The sequence below is a fragment of the Homo sapiens genome, chromosome 2, assembly GCF_000001405.40.
Source record: "Homo sapiens chromosome 2, GRCh38.p14 Primary Assembly".
Taxonomy (NCBI): domain Eukaryota; kingdom Metazoa; phylum Chordata; class Mammalia; order Primates; family Hominidae; genus Homo; species Homo sapiens.
Window position 1 is genome coordinate 113,000,581 of NC_000002.12, and position 19,685 is coordinate 113,020,265.

Consider the following 19,685-nt stretch of genomic DNA (forward strand, 5'->3'; position numbering starts at 1 on the left):
ATTGTCTTTTGGCTTTCATTGTTGTAATTGAGAAGTCAGTTGTCAGTCTTTTGCACCCCTCGAAGGTAATGAGTTTTTATTATCTGCTACTTTTACATTTAATTTTTGCCTTTGGTTTTATAAAATTTCAATCTGATGTGTTTAGAAGTGAATCTTTAAAACATTTATGTTATTTGAGATTTATTGTGTTTTTTGAAACTGTGAATCAGTGTCTTTATTATTTGAGAATATTCCCAGCCATTCTCTCTTCAAATAATTACTCTGCCTTATTTTATCTTTCCTCCTAGGACTCCAGTCAATATCTTGCAACTTCTCACCTTTTTCTCCACATTTTTTCCACCTTCTTCTGTATTTTCTGGCTTTCCTGTGCCTGTGCTCCAATCTGGATTTCTTCTCATTTGTCTTCAAATTTGCTAATTCTCTTTTCTGCTGTGTGATGCCTACTGCTAAATATAGCTATTGGCTTATTTAATTTAATTTACTTATCATACAGTCATAGAGGTTCTGCTTGACTCCATCAAATCTGTCACTTTCCATAGTTTTCTGTTCTAGAAAAATATTTTCATGTTTTTCATTTGTTTCTTAAACATGGTTAGGATGGTTGCTTTAAGCTGTGTGTAAAAAAATTACAAAATGTGAAGTTTGTGTAGATATGTTTCTGTTATCTTGTTTTGTTTGCTTTGTTTCTTTTTTCTTGTTGTTCTTGTTCTTGTGACCTTGTTTACTCATATGCCTGGTAATCTTCAACTATGTGTGGCTTGTGCCGTTGAAAATGTATCTGAGTGACTCTTCCCTCCTCTAGAGAGACTTTCTTTTTGCTTCTTGTGGAATGAGTTTAGCCTACATAAAATTGAATACAGTTTGATTGTTTTTAGCTCAATGAAGCTATGAGTATTTAGTGTGAAAATCTTTGTGAGAGTCTGTCCCTGGCCACAGCCCTCCAGAAATGTTTCTTTTCTTTTTCTTTCTCTCTTCAGTGAAAGTCAGTGCCAGGACAGTCCTCTCCATGGTTCTTAGAGGTTGGAGAAAGGCAATCTAGATTTCCTGAGCTTGCCACCTCCCCAGCCCCAACCCTGTGCACTGACTTCTTTATTTTTGTGCTGGTGTGACTACAGTACTGAGCATAAGGTGTACTATATCAGCAGAGAGCATATAGTGGTTTTACTGTTCCCTTATTTTAGATCCTGGTTCTGTAGGTCTGGAGTAGGACCTGAGATTCTGCATTTCTGGCAAGCTTCAAAATAATGCCAATGTATCATCCATAAAGTACACCTTAAGTATTAAAGATGTACACAACAAGGAAAATTTTATCTAATGATTTGGCAATACATGAATAATAGTAGCCAAAATAAATGGTGGAAATTGTGCTATAGGATTTGGGAAAGATTTGCAGGGTAGAGGTGACTATATTAAACTTTGAAGTGAGTAATGAAGGATAGATAGGGATGGACAAAGGAATGAAATCCCAAGACAGGTCTAGTTCTGGATAGCTGAAGAGATAGAGAAGGCTGCAACTCTAGGCTTTACTCCTGTGGAATTCTTTTCTTGCAGAGTGAGAAGTTTCCTTCATCATATTTGGCTCAGTGTCCTTTCTCAGGAGCATTCACCCTTTTGGCTATAAAGGATGTTTCCTCCATGCTAGAGAGAAATAAGTACAGGTCTTGAACAATCTGGTATCACCACAGCCCTCACCACCTCCACTGATGGCACTGTGGCCTAAGTACCCAGGCCATATAGAGCTCCAAGTATCTATGGGATGAAATAAGAATTTTAAAGGACCTACATCTTAGCTGTTGTCACAAATGAGTTTGCATTCATATGTGCAGCATCCAAACCAATATGTTTTGTCTGTTTGCATCTTCATACCTATGGAAGGACCTTGGGCCTCTTCCCCCAAGATATTCATGTGGGTTCAGTTCTGTGCAGAGAGAGTGGAGCTGATGTCATAGGCTCTGAACTTTCTTCTTTGAGTATGGAAATCATCTTATGCTAATGGAGACCTGAGGAAGCTCCTCTTTATAAACTCAGCGTGATACCAAATTCTAATTTTGACTCAGGGATACCTGCTACACATTTAAATTTGGGCTATACATGATTTCACACTCTTGAGGAGATGACTGTGGGGCTCCCTGGGACAAAATTTTAATGGCCTTTTATATCATACCATGCAGTAGGAATATCTGGGAAGGAGACAGGGTGTAAACAGAAGGAAATTCTCCTGCTGGCCAGATAGGTCATTGATGAAGTTGCAAAAAAACCGAGATCTGAGATGATCTATTGGTAGTCACAGCAAAAATGCTGACTGAGATAAACAGGTCAATCTGGGGCTTGGTGACAGACATAGGGGACTCATTAGGTCAGTTGCTCCAGGAAGCTGTCACTTATGGAGAGCTTTTCATGCTCTTCTTTAACCCACATAACAGCCCAGCAAGGTGTAATGCATTTCATATGCGTCATCTGAGGATCAGGGATGTGATAGAATTTCTCCAAAGACACAATTCCAAAAGTTGCAAAACCTAATTTTGAATGCACATCTTTTGAATACAAGTATTTTGCTTTCAAACACCAAACTACTGTGTTAGTTTGGGTTCTCCCCAAGGCAGATCCTGGATGCAGGGAGCTCATTCAGGGGATTATTCCAGGAGATCCAATAGAGAAAATGCTAGTGATCTTGTTACTATTATGGGGCAACTCTGAGAAACCTTAGTGTTATCGTATCAGAGGATGGGGTGGCTGAACATTTGTCTACCAGTTTCTTTCACCACTTACTGAAGTTGCCCCTGAGATGGAAGCCCTAGAGGTGTGAAGCTGACAGATGCTAGGATCTCCAACAGCAGTTGTGAACTCAGGTTGTTGAAGGTATGGAGCAGAGCATCAACAGTATTACCTCAGCTTCCTTTTAGTGTAGACCTAATGTCAGGTACTGCGAGCTCAGAGCACTGGGGCCTCTGGCAGCCAGGCTTCCTTTCCTGCTGTATTAGTCAGGAGCCTCCAGAGAGATAGAATCATTAGGATGTGTGTTTATGCACACAAACACAGACACACATACAGAATCGGCACTTTGTATCTGCAGGTTCAACCAACCAGCATTGAGGGATGCTGAGCCTGTGGATGAAGAGGGCTGACTTTTTGTATAAGTGGGTTCTGCAGGGTCAACTGACAAACTTGTGTAGAGACAGGGTTTTGCTGTGTTGGCCAGGCTGGTCTTGAACTCCTGACCTCAGGTGATCTGCCTGCCTCGGCCTCCCAAAGTTCTGGGATTACAGACATGAGCCATTGTGCTTCAACTTTAAGTTTTTTAGTCATAATTGTGTAAGCTGAACCAATTAAGATGTCTATGATATTGGCTATCATTTCTGCTGTTAATATTCAGTCCTCTTCAACTAGGGCACAAAAAGATTAGTTTTTTCCTTGCAAAGTGATGTGGATGGTCTGCTGCTGCAGGTGCTATTTTCAATATTGTCTCACTTCTTAAAATGAGTTATCCATTGTAAACTGCTGATTTCTTTGGGTCATTGTCCCCACAAACTTTTTATAAGCCATCAATGATTTCACCATTCTTCCACCCAAGTTTCACCATAAATTTGATTTTTGTTCTTGCTTCAATTTTAGAAGAATTCATGTTGATCTTATAGGGGCTCTTTTCAAACTGATGTCTTACCTTTCTTAGTGCCTCAAACTAGATCCTGTTCAAACACCTTATAACAAGTTAGTAGGAGTTTATTTTGGTGCAAAATAATTCAAAATCCATGCATAGTTTTTTTCATAATATGCATTTTCCATGAACTTTTTGATGACCTCTTGTATGAAAGGGGATTTATTAGGGGAATGAACTCATGCAATTTTGGAGGCTGAGAAATCCCATGACAGACCACCTGCAAGCTGGAGACCCTGGGATGCAGGTAACATGCTCAGTTCAAGTCCTAAAGCCTCAGAACTAGGAAGCCACTGGTGTAATTCTCACTTTGGGATAGAAAGCCTGAGAACCCAGGGAGATGCTGATATTAAGTCCTGGAGTCCAAAGTCTGGAGTTATAATGTCCAAAGGCAGGAGAGAATGCCCCAGCTCCAGGAGAGACAGAAAATCACCTTTTCTCTGTCTTTTCCATGCCATCCATGCCCCCGGCCAGTTGGATGGATCCCACCTACGTTGAGGGTAGATGTTCCCCACTAGTACACTGACTTACACACCAATCTTCTTTGGAAACACCCTCATAGACTTACCCCAAACTAATGTATTACCAGTTCTTTAAGTATTCCTTAAACCAGTCAAATTGACACTTAAAATTTACTATCACGCTACCTATACTAGAGATAGTGATCTAGAGTCCATTGAGGTGGCTAGAGTGCTCAGGAGCTGGCTTTGCTACAGTAATACTCCCTTCTTCCATGGAGAAGCAGCATGCACAGTGGCTCTGAGAAGCTGGAGGAGGGTCACTGGAGTGAGTGGGCTTCTGGTCTGAAATTGACCAAGAATATAGTTCCTGTGGACCAGGAGTGATTAGAAGCTACAGAGGTCTTAAGAGACCTATCCCTCCTCAGTCTACCTTGCACTTACTGAGGGCTCCCACTCTTAGGAATAATTCCATCGTTTCATTTTGTGGCATCAGAGATGAGTCATTGACCCGGAAGAAGTCCCGTAATGTTTCTCAACTCAGTATCTGTGACTATATTTCCTGCTCTTAAAAGTTTAGCATGCCCTCATGTTTCAGGTTGCTTGGAGAAGTCTTAACCATGCTGTTCACATAAAGAGTCACTAAATCCTCTGGCATCAGGAACTAGAAAATATCCTGAGTGTTGGGCAGTGCCAGACTTAGTGAGGCAGAACTTCCTTCCTTGCCCATGTGGATAAAAGGCCTGGGCCCTGTTACAGCCTGTCAGAAAACCCAAGTGCAGTAGAAGCCATTGTTCATAATGGTAGGGATACAGGGTCCTTCGTAACAGATTATCAGTGTGGCCTATGCTGGAAAGTCTGGTGACCTCTGATTTTTTTTGCTTCCAGGTCTTTGGCCTTGGCACTCTTTGTCATATTAGAGTTCCTGGGTCTAGGCCTGGGCAGGATTCATAGGTGCAGCTGCTTCTGCTGGAGGTAGACTGCATCCAACAAAGTAAGGGTGCTGGGTGAGTTCTGGGAGTATAGATTCTGACTGGGGTCACTGCTGGGCTGGCCGCCAGTCTTTCATCTGACCCAGGGTTAAACTGTGGCTTGGGACTGACTCAGGTCCTCTCTTGGGGTCGGTCTGCACATAAAAGGACTCCTATCCTTGGCAGTTCTGAAACAACACCACCACAATGGAAAAAGGTAAAGATCCTCGTGGAAGGGCGAAAAATTGACAAGGGGGTGATATTCTGTGCTCTCATTCTTACTAATTTACATTTTGACTTTCTCAACAGCATTGAAAATTGACACACCTCAGCAGGGGAGCATTCAGGATATCAATCATCGGGTGTGGGTTCTTCAGGACCAGACGCTCATAGCAGTCCCGAGGAAGGACCGTATGTCTCCAGGTGAGTAGCCACGGTCTGTGAAAGGCAGCTCCTTTGGCCAGTGCTGTTGTGTGTTTGGTGCTCAGATGTTATTCCACAGTGGGCTTGTTAACCGGGCATATCTACAGAGAGGAGCATCTCACAGACAATAATGAATAGAGGGTGAGCATAAGGTTGTTCTGGGACTATGGTCATGAAGTCAGAGAAGAGAGAGAAGGCTTAAGGGAGACTGAAGGGTCAGCCTATGAAAAACAGTGGAAGACGTATTCTGAGAAACTTCAAGGAGTAAGAGTAGGACAAAAGAGGGTAATCTATGGGAGGACCAGTTTTTGAATCCATGAAAGACTGACTTTTCTAATGGAAAGTGTTCCCCAAACATAGGATGGGTGTCCCGGTTAGGTGGTGGGTGGTGAGGTGACCATTCTATGAGTGCACTGTGAGTGTCAGTTAGCAGATTCCCTTAAAACTCTGGCTCAGAGGTACCACCCTGGAAATGGCAGCTGAACACCACTTTTCACATCGTGTTCCCAGTCACTATTGCCTTAATCTCATGCCGACATGTGGAGACCCTTGAGAAAGACAGAGGGAACCCCATCTACCTGGGCCTGAATGGACTCAATCTCTGCCTGATGTGTGCTAAAGTCGGGGACCAGCCCACACTGCAGCTGAAGGTGAGTGTGGAAGACAGGTCCTGCCATTTATTTGATGGAAACTCAGATTTCAGGATCTTTTAAAAGACAATGTACTTATTATGCTCATGCATTTTTATTTTTGGTTTCCTTGGGGTTGGTATATGTTATGAAAGACTAAGAAAAATTGCAGGGACATTTTGAAACAAACCTACTAAAATGACTTATTATTTTAATTTACAAAAATATTAATAATTTGGCAAGGATGATGTCTAACTTCAATAGAACACACACACAGAGTAAAATCAGCAAGGACATTTTAGCAGTTAATTATCACAAAGTAGACGAACTTATTAAAACATCTTTTTGGCAAAAAATACATTGCAACTTTAAATGAACAAACATAATTCTCTGTAATAAACACTTCAATAATCGCAATTTTCCATTATTAAAAAAAGATAATTATAGCAGGCCTCTGTGTACTACAGGAACTCTCTTGACCCTTTTCAGTAAACAAGCATAAGCAGACACTCAACTTGATGACAAGATATAAAACAGTGTTTTTCAGCCAGGGGTGATATTGCTCCAGGGACATTTGTCAATGTCTGGAGATGTTTTGGTTGTGACAACCTGGGATGGGGGTGTGATACTTGCATTTATCGGGTAGATGACAGGGATGCTACTAAACATCCTATATTATTATACAGGACAGACCCTGAAAACAAAGAATCATCTTGCCTAAAATGTCAATAGTGCTGAAGGTGCAGAAACCTGACAGAAAATAACTGTTTTAATTTGAAATTTACAGTAACTGTTACATAAATATTCTTTAAGTTTCTGTTTCTGAACAACAAATAATGGCCCAATCAATGCTTTGTATTCTCAAAAACTTTCATGTCAACACATTTTTCAGAGCCTCACATTAAAAACCATTAAAATTTGTAGCCTGAGTTTCAACCATAATCTTAAAAGAATTTAATTTATATGATTTTCAATCCCATAATATGAAACAGAGGTCTCCAAGCTGCTTCAATGAGTAGGGAATGCTATCCTTGGACGTGGAATATCAGTGTGTAAAGAATGTGAAACATTCAAACAGTTATGTTTCTTGCTGGTGTCTCCTTCGCACCCTTCAGGAAAAGGATATAATGGATTTGTACAACCAACCCGAGCCTGTGAAGTCCTTTCTCTTCTACCACAGCCAGAGTGGCAGGAACTCCACCTTCGAGTCTGTGGCTTTCCCTGGCTGGTTCATCGCTGTCAGCTCTGAAGGAGGCTGTCCTCTCATCCTTACCCAAGAACTGGGGAAAGCCAACACTACTGACTTTGGGTTAACTATGCTGTTTTAAGGTCAGTTGGGTTTGGAGGATAGTCTCCATGCAGGGAAAATCTTAGTATAATCTTAGCCTGGAATGGGCAGGGAGAATTTGTTATTGGACTTTCCACCTAAGAGTATCTTGCTGCCTCCCAATATATTCATGCAGTGACCTAAGTGCTGGACTGGTCCCTCTCCCTGGGGCCATGTGGAAAATAGTCCAGGGAAATTGAGGGCCTTGCCATGAGCATGTGGCTGAAATATGGCACCATTACAAAAATAATAAGGAAAGCTCTACTTAACATAATTGCTAATAATGCTCCAAGTAAAAATGAGGGTGGTGACTCTTTTTTTTTTTTTTTTTTTTTGAGACGGAGTCTCGCTCTGTCGCCCAGGCTGGAGTGCAGTGGCGCGATCTCGGCTCACTGCAAGCTCCGCCTCCCGGGTTCACGCCATTCTCCTGCCTCAGCCTCCCGAGTAGCTGGGACTACAGGCGCCCGCTACCACGCCCGGCTAATTTTTTTGTATTTTTAGTAGAGACGGGGTTTCACCATGTTAGGAGGGTGGTGACTCTTAAATTTTAAGTCCAGGTCTCTGGATTTTCAGATAGATTCCTCTGTGATGGAGTATCAAGACCTTTTGGATTCTGACAAGGAGAAGCAGATATAAATGTTCCATCAGAAAGAGGAGACCAAAAAGAAAACTGCGCCACTCCTGGGCTTGGCTTATGTCTCAGTGAAGTTACATATGCTGGTGCTGGTTTGGGTGAAGAACTGCTGTGGTTTATGAAGCTTTCTTTTTTTTTTTAAAAATTTTATTATTATTATACTTTAAGTTTCAGGGTACATGTGCATGACATGCAGGTTGGTTACATATGCATACATGTGCCATGCTGGTATGCTGCACCCATTAACTCGTCATTTAGCATTAGGTATATCTCCTAATGCTATCCCTCCCCCCTCCCCCCACCCCACAACAGTCCCCGGTGTGTGATGTTCCCCTTCCTGTGTCCATGTGTTCTCATTGTTCAATTTCCACCTATGAGTGAGAAGATGCGGTGTTTGGTTTTTTGTCCTTGCGATAGTGTGCTGAGAATAATGGTTTCCAGCTTCATCCATGTCCCTACAAAGGACATGAACTCATCATTTTTTATGGCTGCTTAGTATTCCATGATGTATATGTGGCACATTTTCTTAATCCAGTCTATCGTTGTTGGACATTTAGGTTGGTCGTCAGTGTGGCGATTTCTCAGGGATCTAGAACTAGAAATACCATTTTACCTAGCCATCCCATTACTGGGTATATACCCAAAAGACTATAAATCATGCTGCTATAAAGACACATGCACACGTATGTTTATAGCAGCACTATTCACAATAGCAAAGACTTGGAACCAACCTAAATGTCCAACAACGATAGACTGGATTAAGAAAATGAAGCTTTCACCTAAAGTGTTATCACTGGACCTCAAAAGCATTAAATTTGTGAAATAAAAATTTTGACATCTCAGTGGCTCTTTTATGAATCAAATGGCTTTAGTGGAATATTGTGGTTATAATATTGATTCCTTGCATTTTTAAGGAGTTTTATAGTTTGTAAAGCAGGCTCACACAAAGGCTCTTGTTTCTAAGAGGAACCAGTAAGATTGTTGGGGAGGGTGGTATCTTCCCAAACTCAGGTTTCTCCAGGCCTCACTACTGGGGTGGGTGGGACAAATAGTGCTTCACTAATAGAAATTTCACTCCCTATTTCAGTGAACAATGCAGGTGCACAGCTATCTGAAAAACCCTCCCTGCCTATTCTGGCAAGGGTTTCTGAGAGTCTACTGTGGGTTTTTCCTGTGAACTCACAAACCATAAACTGACATGGGTCGCATTCATCTAGAGAACACTTATTTTGAAGACTTCTTTTTAATCCTCTCTTATTTTGAAGACTTCTTTTTAATCCTCTCTTATTTTGAAGACTTCTTTTTAATCCTCTCTTATTTTGAAGACTTCTTTTTAATCCTCTCTTATTTTGAAATAAGTTTTCTTCTTACAGAATATTAGCTGAAATTTTATTTCTTGCCGTATTATGATTCCCAAAATAGTTCATCTGTGTAGTCCTGTTGTAATGTTTACTTTCCATTATATTTTTACTTGTCCCTAAGCTTTGGAGGAAGATGTGGAAATGCTGTTTTCCTGAGCACACTGATGAATTCCAGGGCCCTGCAGGCATTGCCCCAACCTCCTCATCCCATCCTGATGTCTTCTTCCATTCAGCATTTGAGTGACCACATTGATGTTAGAGATTACATTTTTTCCTGGTGACAGCATAGCACTCCCCGAGCTTTTCATTTCTCATGGTTCCTACAAAAAAGTAGAACTGTTTCTTCTCTGCCTTTCCCTGTGCTGGTAATTCCTCTAGACCTGTGAGATGACCAAAACACTTAGGAGAGTGAAAGGGGTCTATGAATGCACGAGGTTAATGGACCTAAACTGAGATGTATGGACCAGCTGTTGGACCAACTGGGATATTGGATCTCCTAAACTCAGGGCTGGGGAGAAATCTGGCCATCTTTGACGTTGCCTGGATGTTTTCTGGAAGAAGCAATTCAACTTCTTTAGAAATTTATGTCTACTTGTTTTTATTCTCCTTTATTTTCTTATAAATGCATAAAACATTGCATTTTCTCTTAGTATTCCTTGAGATACATCCTATAATTACTTGTATTATGGCTTAAAATGAGATATACTTGCCTAATAAATTTTTAAATGTACAATATTGTTAATAAAGTATACTGTAGGTATACTCTTGTACAGATCTCTAGAACTTACTTCTCTTGCTTAAATGAATATTATATGCATTGAAGAGCATCCCTTCATTTCTCCTTCCCCCAGTCCCTGGAAACCACCATTCTACTCTCTGTTTCTATGAATTTGACTATTTCAGATATCGTATCTGTAAGTGGAATCATGCAGTATTTGTCGTTTTGTGACTGGCTCATTTCACATAGCATGATATACTCCAGGTTCTTCCATGTTGTCCCAAATGGCTGGATTTTCTTCTTTTTAAAGGCTGAATAATAATCCATTGTGTGCATATGCCACATTTTCTTTGTCCATTTATCCATAAATGGGCATTTATGTTGTTTTTATAACTTGGCTATTGTACATAATGCTGCAATGAACATGAGAGTGCAGAATAAATTAAAGATTTTAATGTAAGACCAGAAATGGCCCAAACTCCTGGAAGAACACATAGGGGAAAAGTTTCATAACATGAATCTAGGCAACATTTCTTGGATATGACACCAAAAGCACAAGGAACAAAAGCGAAAGTAGACAAGTGAGACTATCAAACTGAAGAGCTTATGCACAGCCAAAGAAACAGTCAAAAGAGTGAAAAGGCAATCTATGAAATGAAAGAAAATATTTGCAAACCATGTATCTCATAAGAAGTTAATATCCAAAATATGTAAGGAAGTCACACAACTCAATGGCAAACAAACAAACAAACAAACAAACAAACAAACAAACAAACATCTGATTAAAAATGGGCAGACTTGAATGGACATTTCTCCAAGACGTACAAATGGCCAACAGGTATACGAAAAGATGTTCAGCATTTACTAATAATCAGAGAAATGCAAATCGAAAGCACAGTGAGATATCACCTGTTAGAATGGCTATTACCAGAAAAACCAATGTGTTGTCGAGGATGTCGAGAAATTGGAACCCTTGTACACTTTGGGTAGAAATTTGAAATAGTGCAGTCACTATAGAAAACAGTATAAAGGTTCCTCAAAAAATTAAAAGTAGAACTACCATATGACCCAGAAATCTCACTTCTCATTATACATCCCAAAGAATTAAAATCAGGATCTCAAAGAGATGTCAGGACACATCCTATAATGTTGATACAGTGTTTTCATTGTCTTTATTTCAACTTCAATCTGTTTTGGTTATTATTTTCCTTTAAGATGTGTATTATACATATTATTTCTAAATTCCCAAGTGGTTGGATAATATGGGGGCTACCTTAGAATTGTCTATGTTTATTATTGCCTATGGTTAGATGGAATGGCCTGTATGATATCAACTTTGAGCATTTTTTGGTATTTCCTTTGTGACTTTGTGCACTAAAAATAAGTTTTCCATGCAAACCTAAGAAAAATTAACACTGATTTCCAATAAATTTAGACATATATAAATATACAATTTCATTTATATATAATATATTTCATAATATGAACATATATTACATAGAATTATATATATATTATGTATTTTAATATTTTGACATTAATAGATACATACAATTTAACATATATGTATTTATATATTTATAAGTTGAATTTTGTTAACTATTTACTCTTTATATTTTTAATTCTTACTTTTTTTTGCTTGATCTATCAGTTTCTCTTAGGGAGTATTAAATTACCTTACTATGACTGTATTTTTAATCAAATTATGTTATTATTTTATACCATTTGCTTAGATTACTTTAATTCTAAGTTTTTTGGTACCTAAAGGTTCATGTATGCCATATCTTCTTCTTCTTGTTTCATACCTTTTATCCTAATGAAATATTCATCTTTGAACCATTATTGATGTTTTTCTTAACTTCTTTGTTAGCTGTGCATACCATTACTTCACCACTTGAAAACACTTTTTTTTTCTTTGCATTTTAACTTCTCTGAAACCTAGATACGTGTTACTACAATGGATGGCATCTTACTATATTGTCAGCCAAGTGGCAGTCATGACACAGTGGTCATTGCCTATGCATTTGCAAATACAGTTGGTTTTTCTGATGCCGTGGTTGGACAAATGTTCCCCATCTGATGTTTCATTCAATACATCATCAAGAAAAAACATTCATTGAAGGAATATGATCCTGGTTGTTGGTGATGAACCTTCTATTCACACATCCTATAAATTAAAAAAGCAACAGCATCAAAAGTTGCTGAATGGAGGTCAGCAGCTTGGAATGATGTCTGGAGATAAGGGTGGATAAATTAAGAAATGCTGTATCACCAGTACTCTTGTTGACACAGGAGAGTTTTATCAGAAGCAAACGTTGGTGATTCTGAGTCAGAAGTGATTAAGCAGAATCACATTCAAAATGTAAGAAGTTTTAGGGCTGGGTGCAGTGGCTCATGCCTGTAACTCCAGTACTTTGGGAGGCCAAGGAGGATGGATCACCTGAGATCAGGAGTTCGAAACCAGCCTGGCCAACATGGTGAAACCCCCGCCTCGACTAAAAGTACAAAAATTAGCTGGACGTGATGGTACATGCCTGTAATCCCATCTACTCAGGAGGGTGAGGCAGGAGAATCGATTGAACCCGGGGGGCAGAGGTTGCAGTGAGCCGAGATCACACCACTGCACTCTAGCCTGGGTAACAGAGCAAGACTCTGGCTCCAAAAAAAAAAAAAAAGTAAGAAATTTTAGGAATACTTTAATTGACTAATCTCATTTATATTTACCTTTTTGTGAATGAAAAGAATACTAGATTATAAATACATGTCTTTAAAACAGCTCCATTTACGTGTATGACTCTAAGAAAGTATTGTATTGTAATTGGGCAATTTTTTTTTCTTTTTGATAGTACATAAAATAATTGTACATCTTACAATCCATGGCATTTTAGAGTCAATGTAACATGATATTGTCAACTGCTTTTTTTGTGTTAACATTTGCTTGACATATATCTTCATCAATTCCTACATTTTCAACCTTTTTGAATTATTTTCCTTTACACGTATCTCTTATCAACAGCATATAGCTAGACGTGTGTGTGTATTTGGTTTAACAAGTCATCTGATAGTTTTTGTCTTTTTATTGAATTTGGCCCATTCACCTTTATTTTGATCACTGGTATGCAGAATTAAATATGACATCTTTTCTGTCTTTTTCAATTTGTCTTGTTTTATTTTGCTTTTCATCTTTTTCTGATAGTTGAATCTGATATACTTTGGAGTATTGTTGTAATCTACACAAACCTACTAGTGAGTTCTTACTTGTTAAGTAATTAGTTTAGTTTTTTAGTGCAGAAATTGTGATATGTTACATAATATGTCATTACAGTACAGGAGTGTTTTGGTGATATATGGGGTATTAATTTGGATTTTTAGGTGAACTAGTTTCTTTTTTTTCAATTTGATGTAGTGAAACATATGCCACAGTATCTGAAAACTTGCTATCCAACATGGCTTTAGGATCAGATTAACCACTTGAGTTTCTGCTTTGTGAATTACTTGTTCATTGCATTTTCCCATTTTCTTCTCTTGATGCTATCGTATCTTTCCTTTTTCTTGTTGGTTTGCAGAAATTTATTATATATTTTTAAGTCTTAATTCACTATTTGTTTTAGTTGTTGCAACTATCTTATTTCAACTTGTCATCGGCTAACTTTTTCCTATGGTGTCTTTAATAAAGAGAGAAATTCTTATTGTTTGCTGTCATCAAATCTATCTTTTTTTTTTTTTTTTGATGGAGTCTTGGTCTGTCGCCCAGGCTGGAGTGCAGTGGCGTGATCTCGGCTCACTGCAACCTCTGCCTCCTGAGTTCATGCCATTCTCCTGCCTCAGCCTCCCAAGTAGCTGGGACTACAGGCGCCCGCCACCACGCCCAGCTAATATTTTGTATTTTTAGTAGAGACGGGGTTTCACTGCGTTAGCCAGGATGGTCTCCATCTCCTGACCTCATGATCTGCCCGCCTCTGCCTCCCAAAGGGTTGGGATTACAGGCGTGAGCCACCCCGCCTGGCCAAATCTATCTTTTTTAAAACATAGGGTTTGAGCAATTGGATCTTTTTAGTTATTTTAAAAACAACGTTAAACTTTACCAAATTATTAATATGTCTTCAACCTTACCTACTGAATATTGTGAATAATCATCCTGGATGTATTCCTCTGCATTTGGAGTGCTTCTTTCAAGAGGGGTTTCAGAAGCAGGCTGTGTGGGGCAAAGCTTCTTAGCCTAGGAGGCTCCCTGAGAACAGCTTTTATGTTTTTCTGTATGATGATAATTCCAGGAAAGGTGATTTTTAGGGGACTGGTATGCTGGAGAGAGAACAAGGTCATCAAGAATTAAGGTAGCCTATAATAAAATTGAAGTTTGGAAAGAAAAAACAAATGTTAGGGAAAGGCCAGAGTGATCTAGGTCCCCAGGGGGTGACTAACTCAGTATCCAAGAGAAAAAGCAAAAAAGTAGAGAGATGCAAATGAATTTCGAGACAGAGGTAGGGTGACACTAATGTAGTTGGTCTATGTGCATTTTTTCTGCTGAATGAATAGTGTGCTGAGCATATTATCCTTCTTAACCACAATATCCACCATGAAAATTATTTCTATTTTGTGGAAGGGAAATTGGGGACTCAGAGCTGTGAAGAGACTTGACTGAATCCATGTAGCTAGAAGCAGGCATCTCCAAAGTTTGGACTCACAGGTGCTGAATATAAAAACCTTATACATTGTATGCAGTAGTAATCACAAGTATCTTCCATTGAACCCCTCTTCATTTCCAGGCACTGGGAATTGGGAAAAGGGCACTGGGAAAACCTGGGAGTCAATGCTTCAGGCTTCAGAAAGATGCCTCCGTCTTCTGGACTTCTGAAAGAGGGAATTTGAGTCTATCGTTAGGGACCAGGATGCCCACAGTGGTGGCCTGCCCTAGGCTCTGAGGTACAGAGGCTTGTTAGGCGGAGCCAACTTTGTTCAGCTCTAGGAGGTGTACTCTTGACCTCAGGGATTGTCCATGTACAGATGGAACAGCATCCAGTAACCTGACTTGGGAGAGTCCCTGAAAATGTTGATGTAATCCCATTTCTTTATTTTTACTGTCTGGGGATTTCCCTCACCTTCTTTCCTTGAGTATCTCTGAGCAGTCTAACCTGTGCTACCATTGATATTTCCCCACCCAAAGCCTCAACAGGAAGCAGCTTTCTAGAGAGAGAAGTCTTCACATGCTCCTTTGGCTAAAGGAGCATAGGGGCTACTAGAGAAACTACATATCCACTGGAACATGGAGACCCCGATCCACACTGGTGTCTGGACTCCTTGGCCCAGCTCATGCTGGAAGCTACTGGCCTCTGATCCCAAGCTCACTGCTGGGCCTTTGGCCTGGCACTGGCCATCGATGAGGGTCTTTGCTTGTGCTGGAATCAAAGGGACAGCTGTTTCTTGTTGGACAGTGAGTTGGTGGGACCGTGCTCTGTGCTCCCCACTGGACACACTGTGTTTAGAAAGTAAAAACATGAGGCTGGAATAACAAGGCACAGATAAAGCCCACTGCAAATTAACAAGCAATAATATTTCTCCCAATAATATGCTGCAGCTGTAGTATCATAACATTCCTCTTCTTTGAGTGGCTACTATTTTTTTAATCACTAAGAGACTTTGTTCTTTACAACCATGGACAATTGGACATTTGACTTTTCAAGTTGTATGAACAAGAATGAAGCATTCCAGTTTTGCCTGAATAATATAAATCATGCTGACACAGAGAAGCAGCCTCAGTCTCCAGCCTGTGAACAAAGCTTCAGATAAAAGGTTTCTGGTCACAACATTCTACATGTATCTTAACTTTGTAGTTTCACAGGACACAGACCCTAGATCCTCTTTACACTACTGACCTAATGTAGACCCCTCTCCATACAGCACTTTTTGCTTTGAGTCCATCTAAACTTTGCTTCATTTAAATTTTGCCTAAATATTACTTTTCCCCCAAATCCTATACATTGTCTTTCTTCCTTGCTATGGCTCAGGTTCCTGATGGACAGTCTCTCTTACTGCAGTAAGTCAATAAATCTGACTTTGTTGGACTACAGAGTTGTTCCTGTTGATTTTAGGCTGATGGGGCGGGGACAATGTGATAGTCAGGCACAGGACCTGCCCAGATGGGTCCTAATGGCAGACCCAGTGCACATAATATTTTAGATGAGTGACTAAAGTATGCATTGCTACCCCTATTAATGAGCCATCTTCCTTCACCAGCACTGCTTAGTGCTTGGGCTTAGCCATCATTTCAGACTGAACTCCACTATTAGTCCTGTCTGGATTAGGAAGCACCCATTGATACCAATGACCTTGGCCATGGATGAAGAATTGGTTTTTGCCACGTTAATTGTTAGTGCTTGAGGGGAGGGGTAATAGAGGTAATCCCTCTTTCCCACTTGAGTTATGAACCAATTGAGAAGTAAGACAAAGACTTTTTTTTGTTTATTGATACATTTATTATTGATAAAGCTGATATTGATTGTGGATTATTTCTGCAAATGAGTAAAGCACAGAATGAGACAATGAGAATTGCAGTCACACATGTCACAGTCAGAACCACAGGGAAGATGGCTCTCATAAAAGTACAAATCATGGCTGGGCACGGTGGGTTGCACCTGGACTCTCAGCACTTGGGAGGCTGAGGTGGGAAGATTGCTTGAGTTCAGGAGTTTGAGACCAGCCTGGGTAACACAGCAGGACTCTGTCTCTTGGAGAAGAAGAAGGAGAAGGAGAAGGAGAAGGGTGAATCATAATCGAACAGAGAAAAATGAAAGCTTTCTTCAATTCTATTTGCTTTCAGTGGAAAGTAGGTAGACAGCAGTTGGACCACACATGAAGAAGAAGAAGGAGAGGAAGAAGAAGAAGAAGAAGAAGAAGAAGAAGAAGAAGAAGAAGAAGAAGAAGAAGAAGAAGGAGAAAAAGAAAGAAAGAAAGAAAGAGAGAAAGAAAGAAAAGAGAAGAAAAGAAGAAGAAGGAGAAGGAGGAGAAGAAGAAGAAAAAGGAGCTGGAGGAGGAGGAGGAGGGAGAAGGAGGGAGAAGGAGGAGAAGAAGAGTGAATCATGATGGAACAGAGCAAAATGAAAGCTTTCTTCAATTCTATTGGTTTTCAATGGAAAGTAGATAGACAGCAGTTAGTCCACACACTCTTAGTTTCTCATATGTAGTATGACCACATAATTTATATATAAGGTGTCATTTTTAAGAGGGGAAGGGGTGGTATCAGTAATGACAGCAGGATAATAGGTGTGCAGCAGGATGTATGGGTTTCTTTTCACTTGGCTGAGGTGAATGAAGGCAGGAAGAAAGCCAAGTGTTTAATAGAAGGAATCATGAGGAGGAAAGAACTGTTCTTCCTTTGGAGAGTTATGTCAAAGGGAAAGGGGAGGCTAAAGCGGGCCGTGACAGCTGCACTCACAAACTGAAGGACTTGGGTGGACCTGGGAGTCCCTTCATTCTCTGCGACATCAAGGCTGAGGAACAGGAAGACAGATTTTATTCTGAGTGAGACTAGTCTTGTTAAAAAAGGTGGACTGCCTGGGAAGGAAGTCAGTTCCTCATTTATCCATTTATTCAGTTATTGATTTATTAATAATTCAACAAAAATTATTAAACACAGACACAGTGTTAGGGGCTGGAAATACAATGGTAAACTAGAAAAATATCACTTCCCTGCAATCAAAGAGTTTATAAGGTAATGGGGGAAGGAAAGAAAGATAGAGGCAAATCAATAAAGTGATTACAAACCCTGTGAAGGAAACAGTCAAAAGCTGACGTAAGAGGTAGAGGAAGGAGATTACTTTAGACATGGTGGCCAAAAAGTCACATATAGGAAGGTGACTTGAAGGAGCTAAAAAAGGAAAATATGAGAATAAACTAATACAGGTAAAAGGCTGTACATGAACTTAGCATATGCAAAGGTCCTGGGGCTGTGAAGAACTTGGCATGTTCAAAGAGCTGAAAGATTGGAATAACTGAAGATACTGATGGAAAGAAAGAGTTATCTGGAAGAGGGGTTGGAGGCAGGCCAGATGATTCAAGCAAGCCTGTAAATGATGGTAAGGACTTTGCATTTTCTTCCAAGTGCAAATGGAAACGTTGAAGGGGTCTAGAGATTGGACTGGCACGGTTAAGATTTCCATTGGTAGAGATAATCCTGGCTGTCTCATGGAGAATGAATTTAATGGGTGCAGGAGTAGACGAAGGGCAATGGGCAGGAGGTGGATCCACATTCAGATGAGCCTTGGTGGTTGTCTGGCATTCAGTGGTGGGTGACAAGGAAGTTGAAGAGAGACGGGTAGATTCAAGACATATTTTGGAGAAAATCTGCTTTAGAGACAGCCTTTTTAATAGGTTGGATGTAGGACTTCAGCGAAAGGAAAAATCAAGGATCACTCCTAGGTTTCTGTTGTAACTGAGACGGAGATAACTGAGTGTTGGAATGTGCAGGTTGTGGAAGGATCAAGCGTTCTACTTAGGACATATTCAATTTCCAAGTTCAGAGACAGTCTACATTGGTAGCTACAAATGCATATCTGGAGTTTAGAGGAGACTTCTGGGCCAGGGATAAAATTGTCAACTGATACGGCTTGGCTGTGTTTCCATCCAAATCTCACCTTGAATTGTAATAATACCCAAATGTCAAGGGCAGGACCTGGTGGAGATAATTGAATCATGGGGACAATTTCCCCCATGTGTTCTTACAGTATGAATAAGTCTCACGAGAGCCGATGGTTTTATAAATGGGAGTTCCCCTGCACAAGCTCTCTTGCCTGTTGCCATGTAAGGTGTGCCTTTGCTCTTCCTTTGCCTTCTGCCATGATTGTGAGGCCTCCCCAGCCATGCTGAACTGTGAGTCCATTAAACCTCTTTCCTTTATAAATTACCCAGCCTTGGGTATGTCTTTATTAGCAGCATGAGAACCAACTAATACGTCCACATACACCCGTTCATGAAACAAATAGTGTCACCCAGTGAAATAGTATAAAGGAGAAGAGGATTCAAGGATGAGTTCTGAGGAATTTCAACTACAAGAAGTCACATGAGGGGGAGCCAGTAAATGAAAGTAAAAAGAAAATTTCAGTGAGTCTGAGGAAAGCCCAGAGAGACTTGTTGCAGAATCCCTAGTATGTGCATGTAAAGATGTGTGGGAGCAGTGGAGTGTGCCTAGCGCTGATTGAGATTAGGACAGCAGAGTGCCCATTGGCATCAGGAAACAGGCAGGGGTGTCATTGATGGTGCTCAGAAGAAAGGTTTTGGTGGAGAAGTCAGATGTCAGAGGTCAGACTGGAGAGTGCAGAGTACTGAAGGACTAATCAGTAATCAGGCATGTGCAAATGAAAATAACAGTGAGAGATTATATCAGTGGTCCCTAAGTTTTGTGGCGCCAGGGACTGGTTTCATGGAGGACATTTTTTCCATGGACTGGGGATGTGGGTGTTCTTAGAAGATCATCATGCATTAGATTCTCATAAGGAGCGCACACATAAATCCCT

At 40.2% G+C, this 19,685-nt stretch overlaps 1 protein-coding gene across 4 annotated transcripts; it reads left to right on the top strand.

The window, feature by feature from the left end:
* Window positions 1–4,878: 4,878 nt before the first annotated feature.
* IL36A (interleukin 36 alpha) lies at window positions 4,879–10,492 on the top strand. 4 transcript variants are annotated; one of them, XM_011510965.2, is made up of 5 exons: window positions 4,879–5,301; window positions 5,394–5,507; window positions 6,018–6,157; window positions 7,252–7,465; window positions 9,580–10,492. In XM_011510965.2, exons 1-4 carry the CDS (start codon window positions 5,292–5,294, stop codon window positions 7,462–7,464), a joined length of 477 nt encoding a protein of 158 aa, XP_011509267.1. In that variant the 5' UTR covers window positions 4,879–5,291; the 3' UTR covers window position 7,465; window positions 9,580–10,492. The 4 variants fall into 4 exon arrangements, with proteins under 4 accessions (XP_011509267.1, XP_005263696.1, XP_016859295.1 ...); XM_005263639.3 differs by lacking the exon at window positions 9,580–10,492 and adding an exon at window positions 8,037–8,237; XM_017003806.2 differs by lacking the exon at window positions 9,580–10,492 and adding an exon at window positions 8,041–8,237.
* Window positions 10,493–19,685: the final 9,193 nt, after the last annotated feature.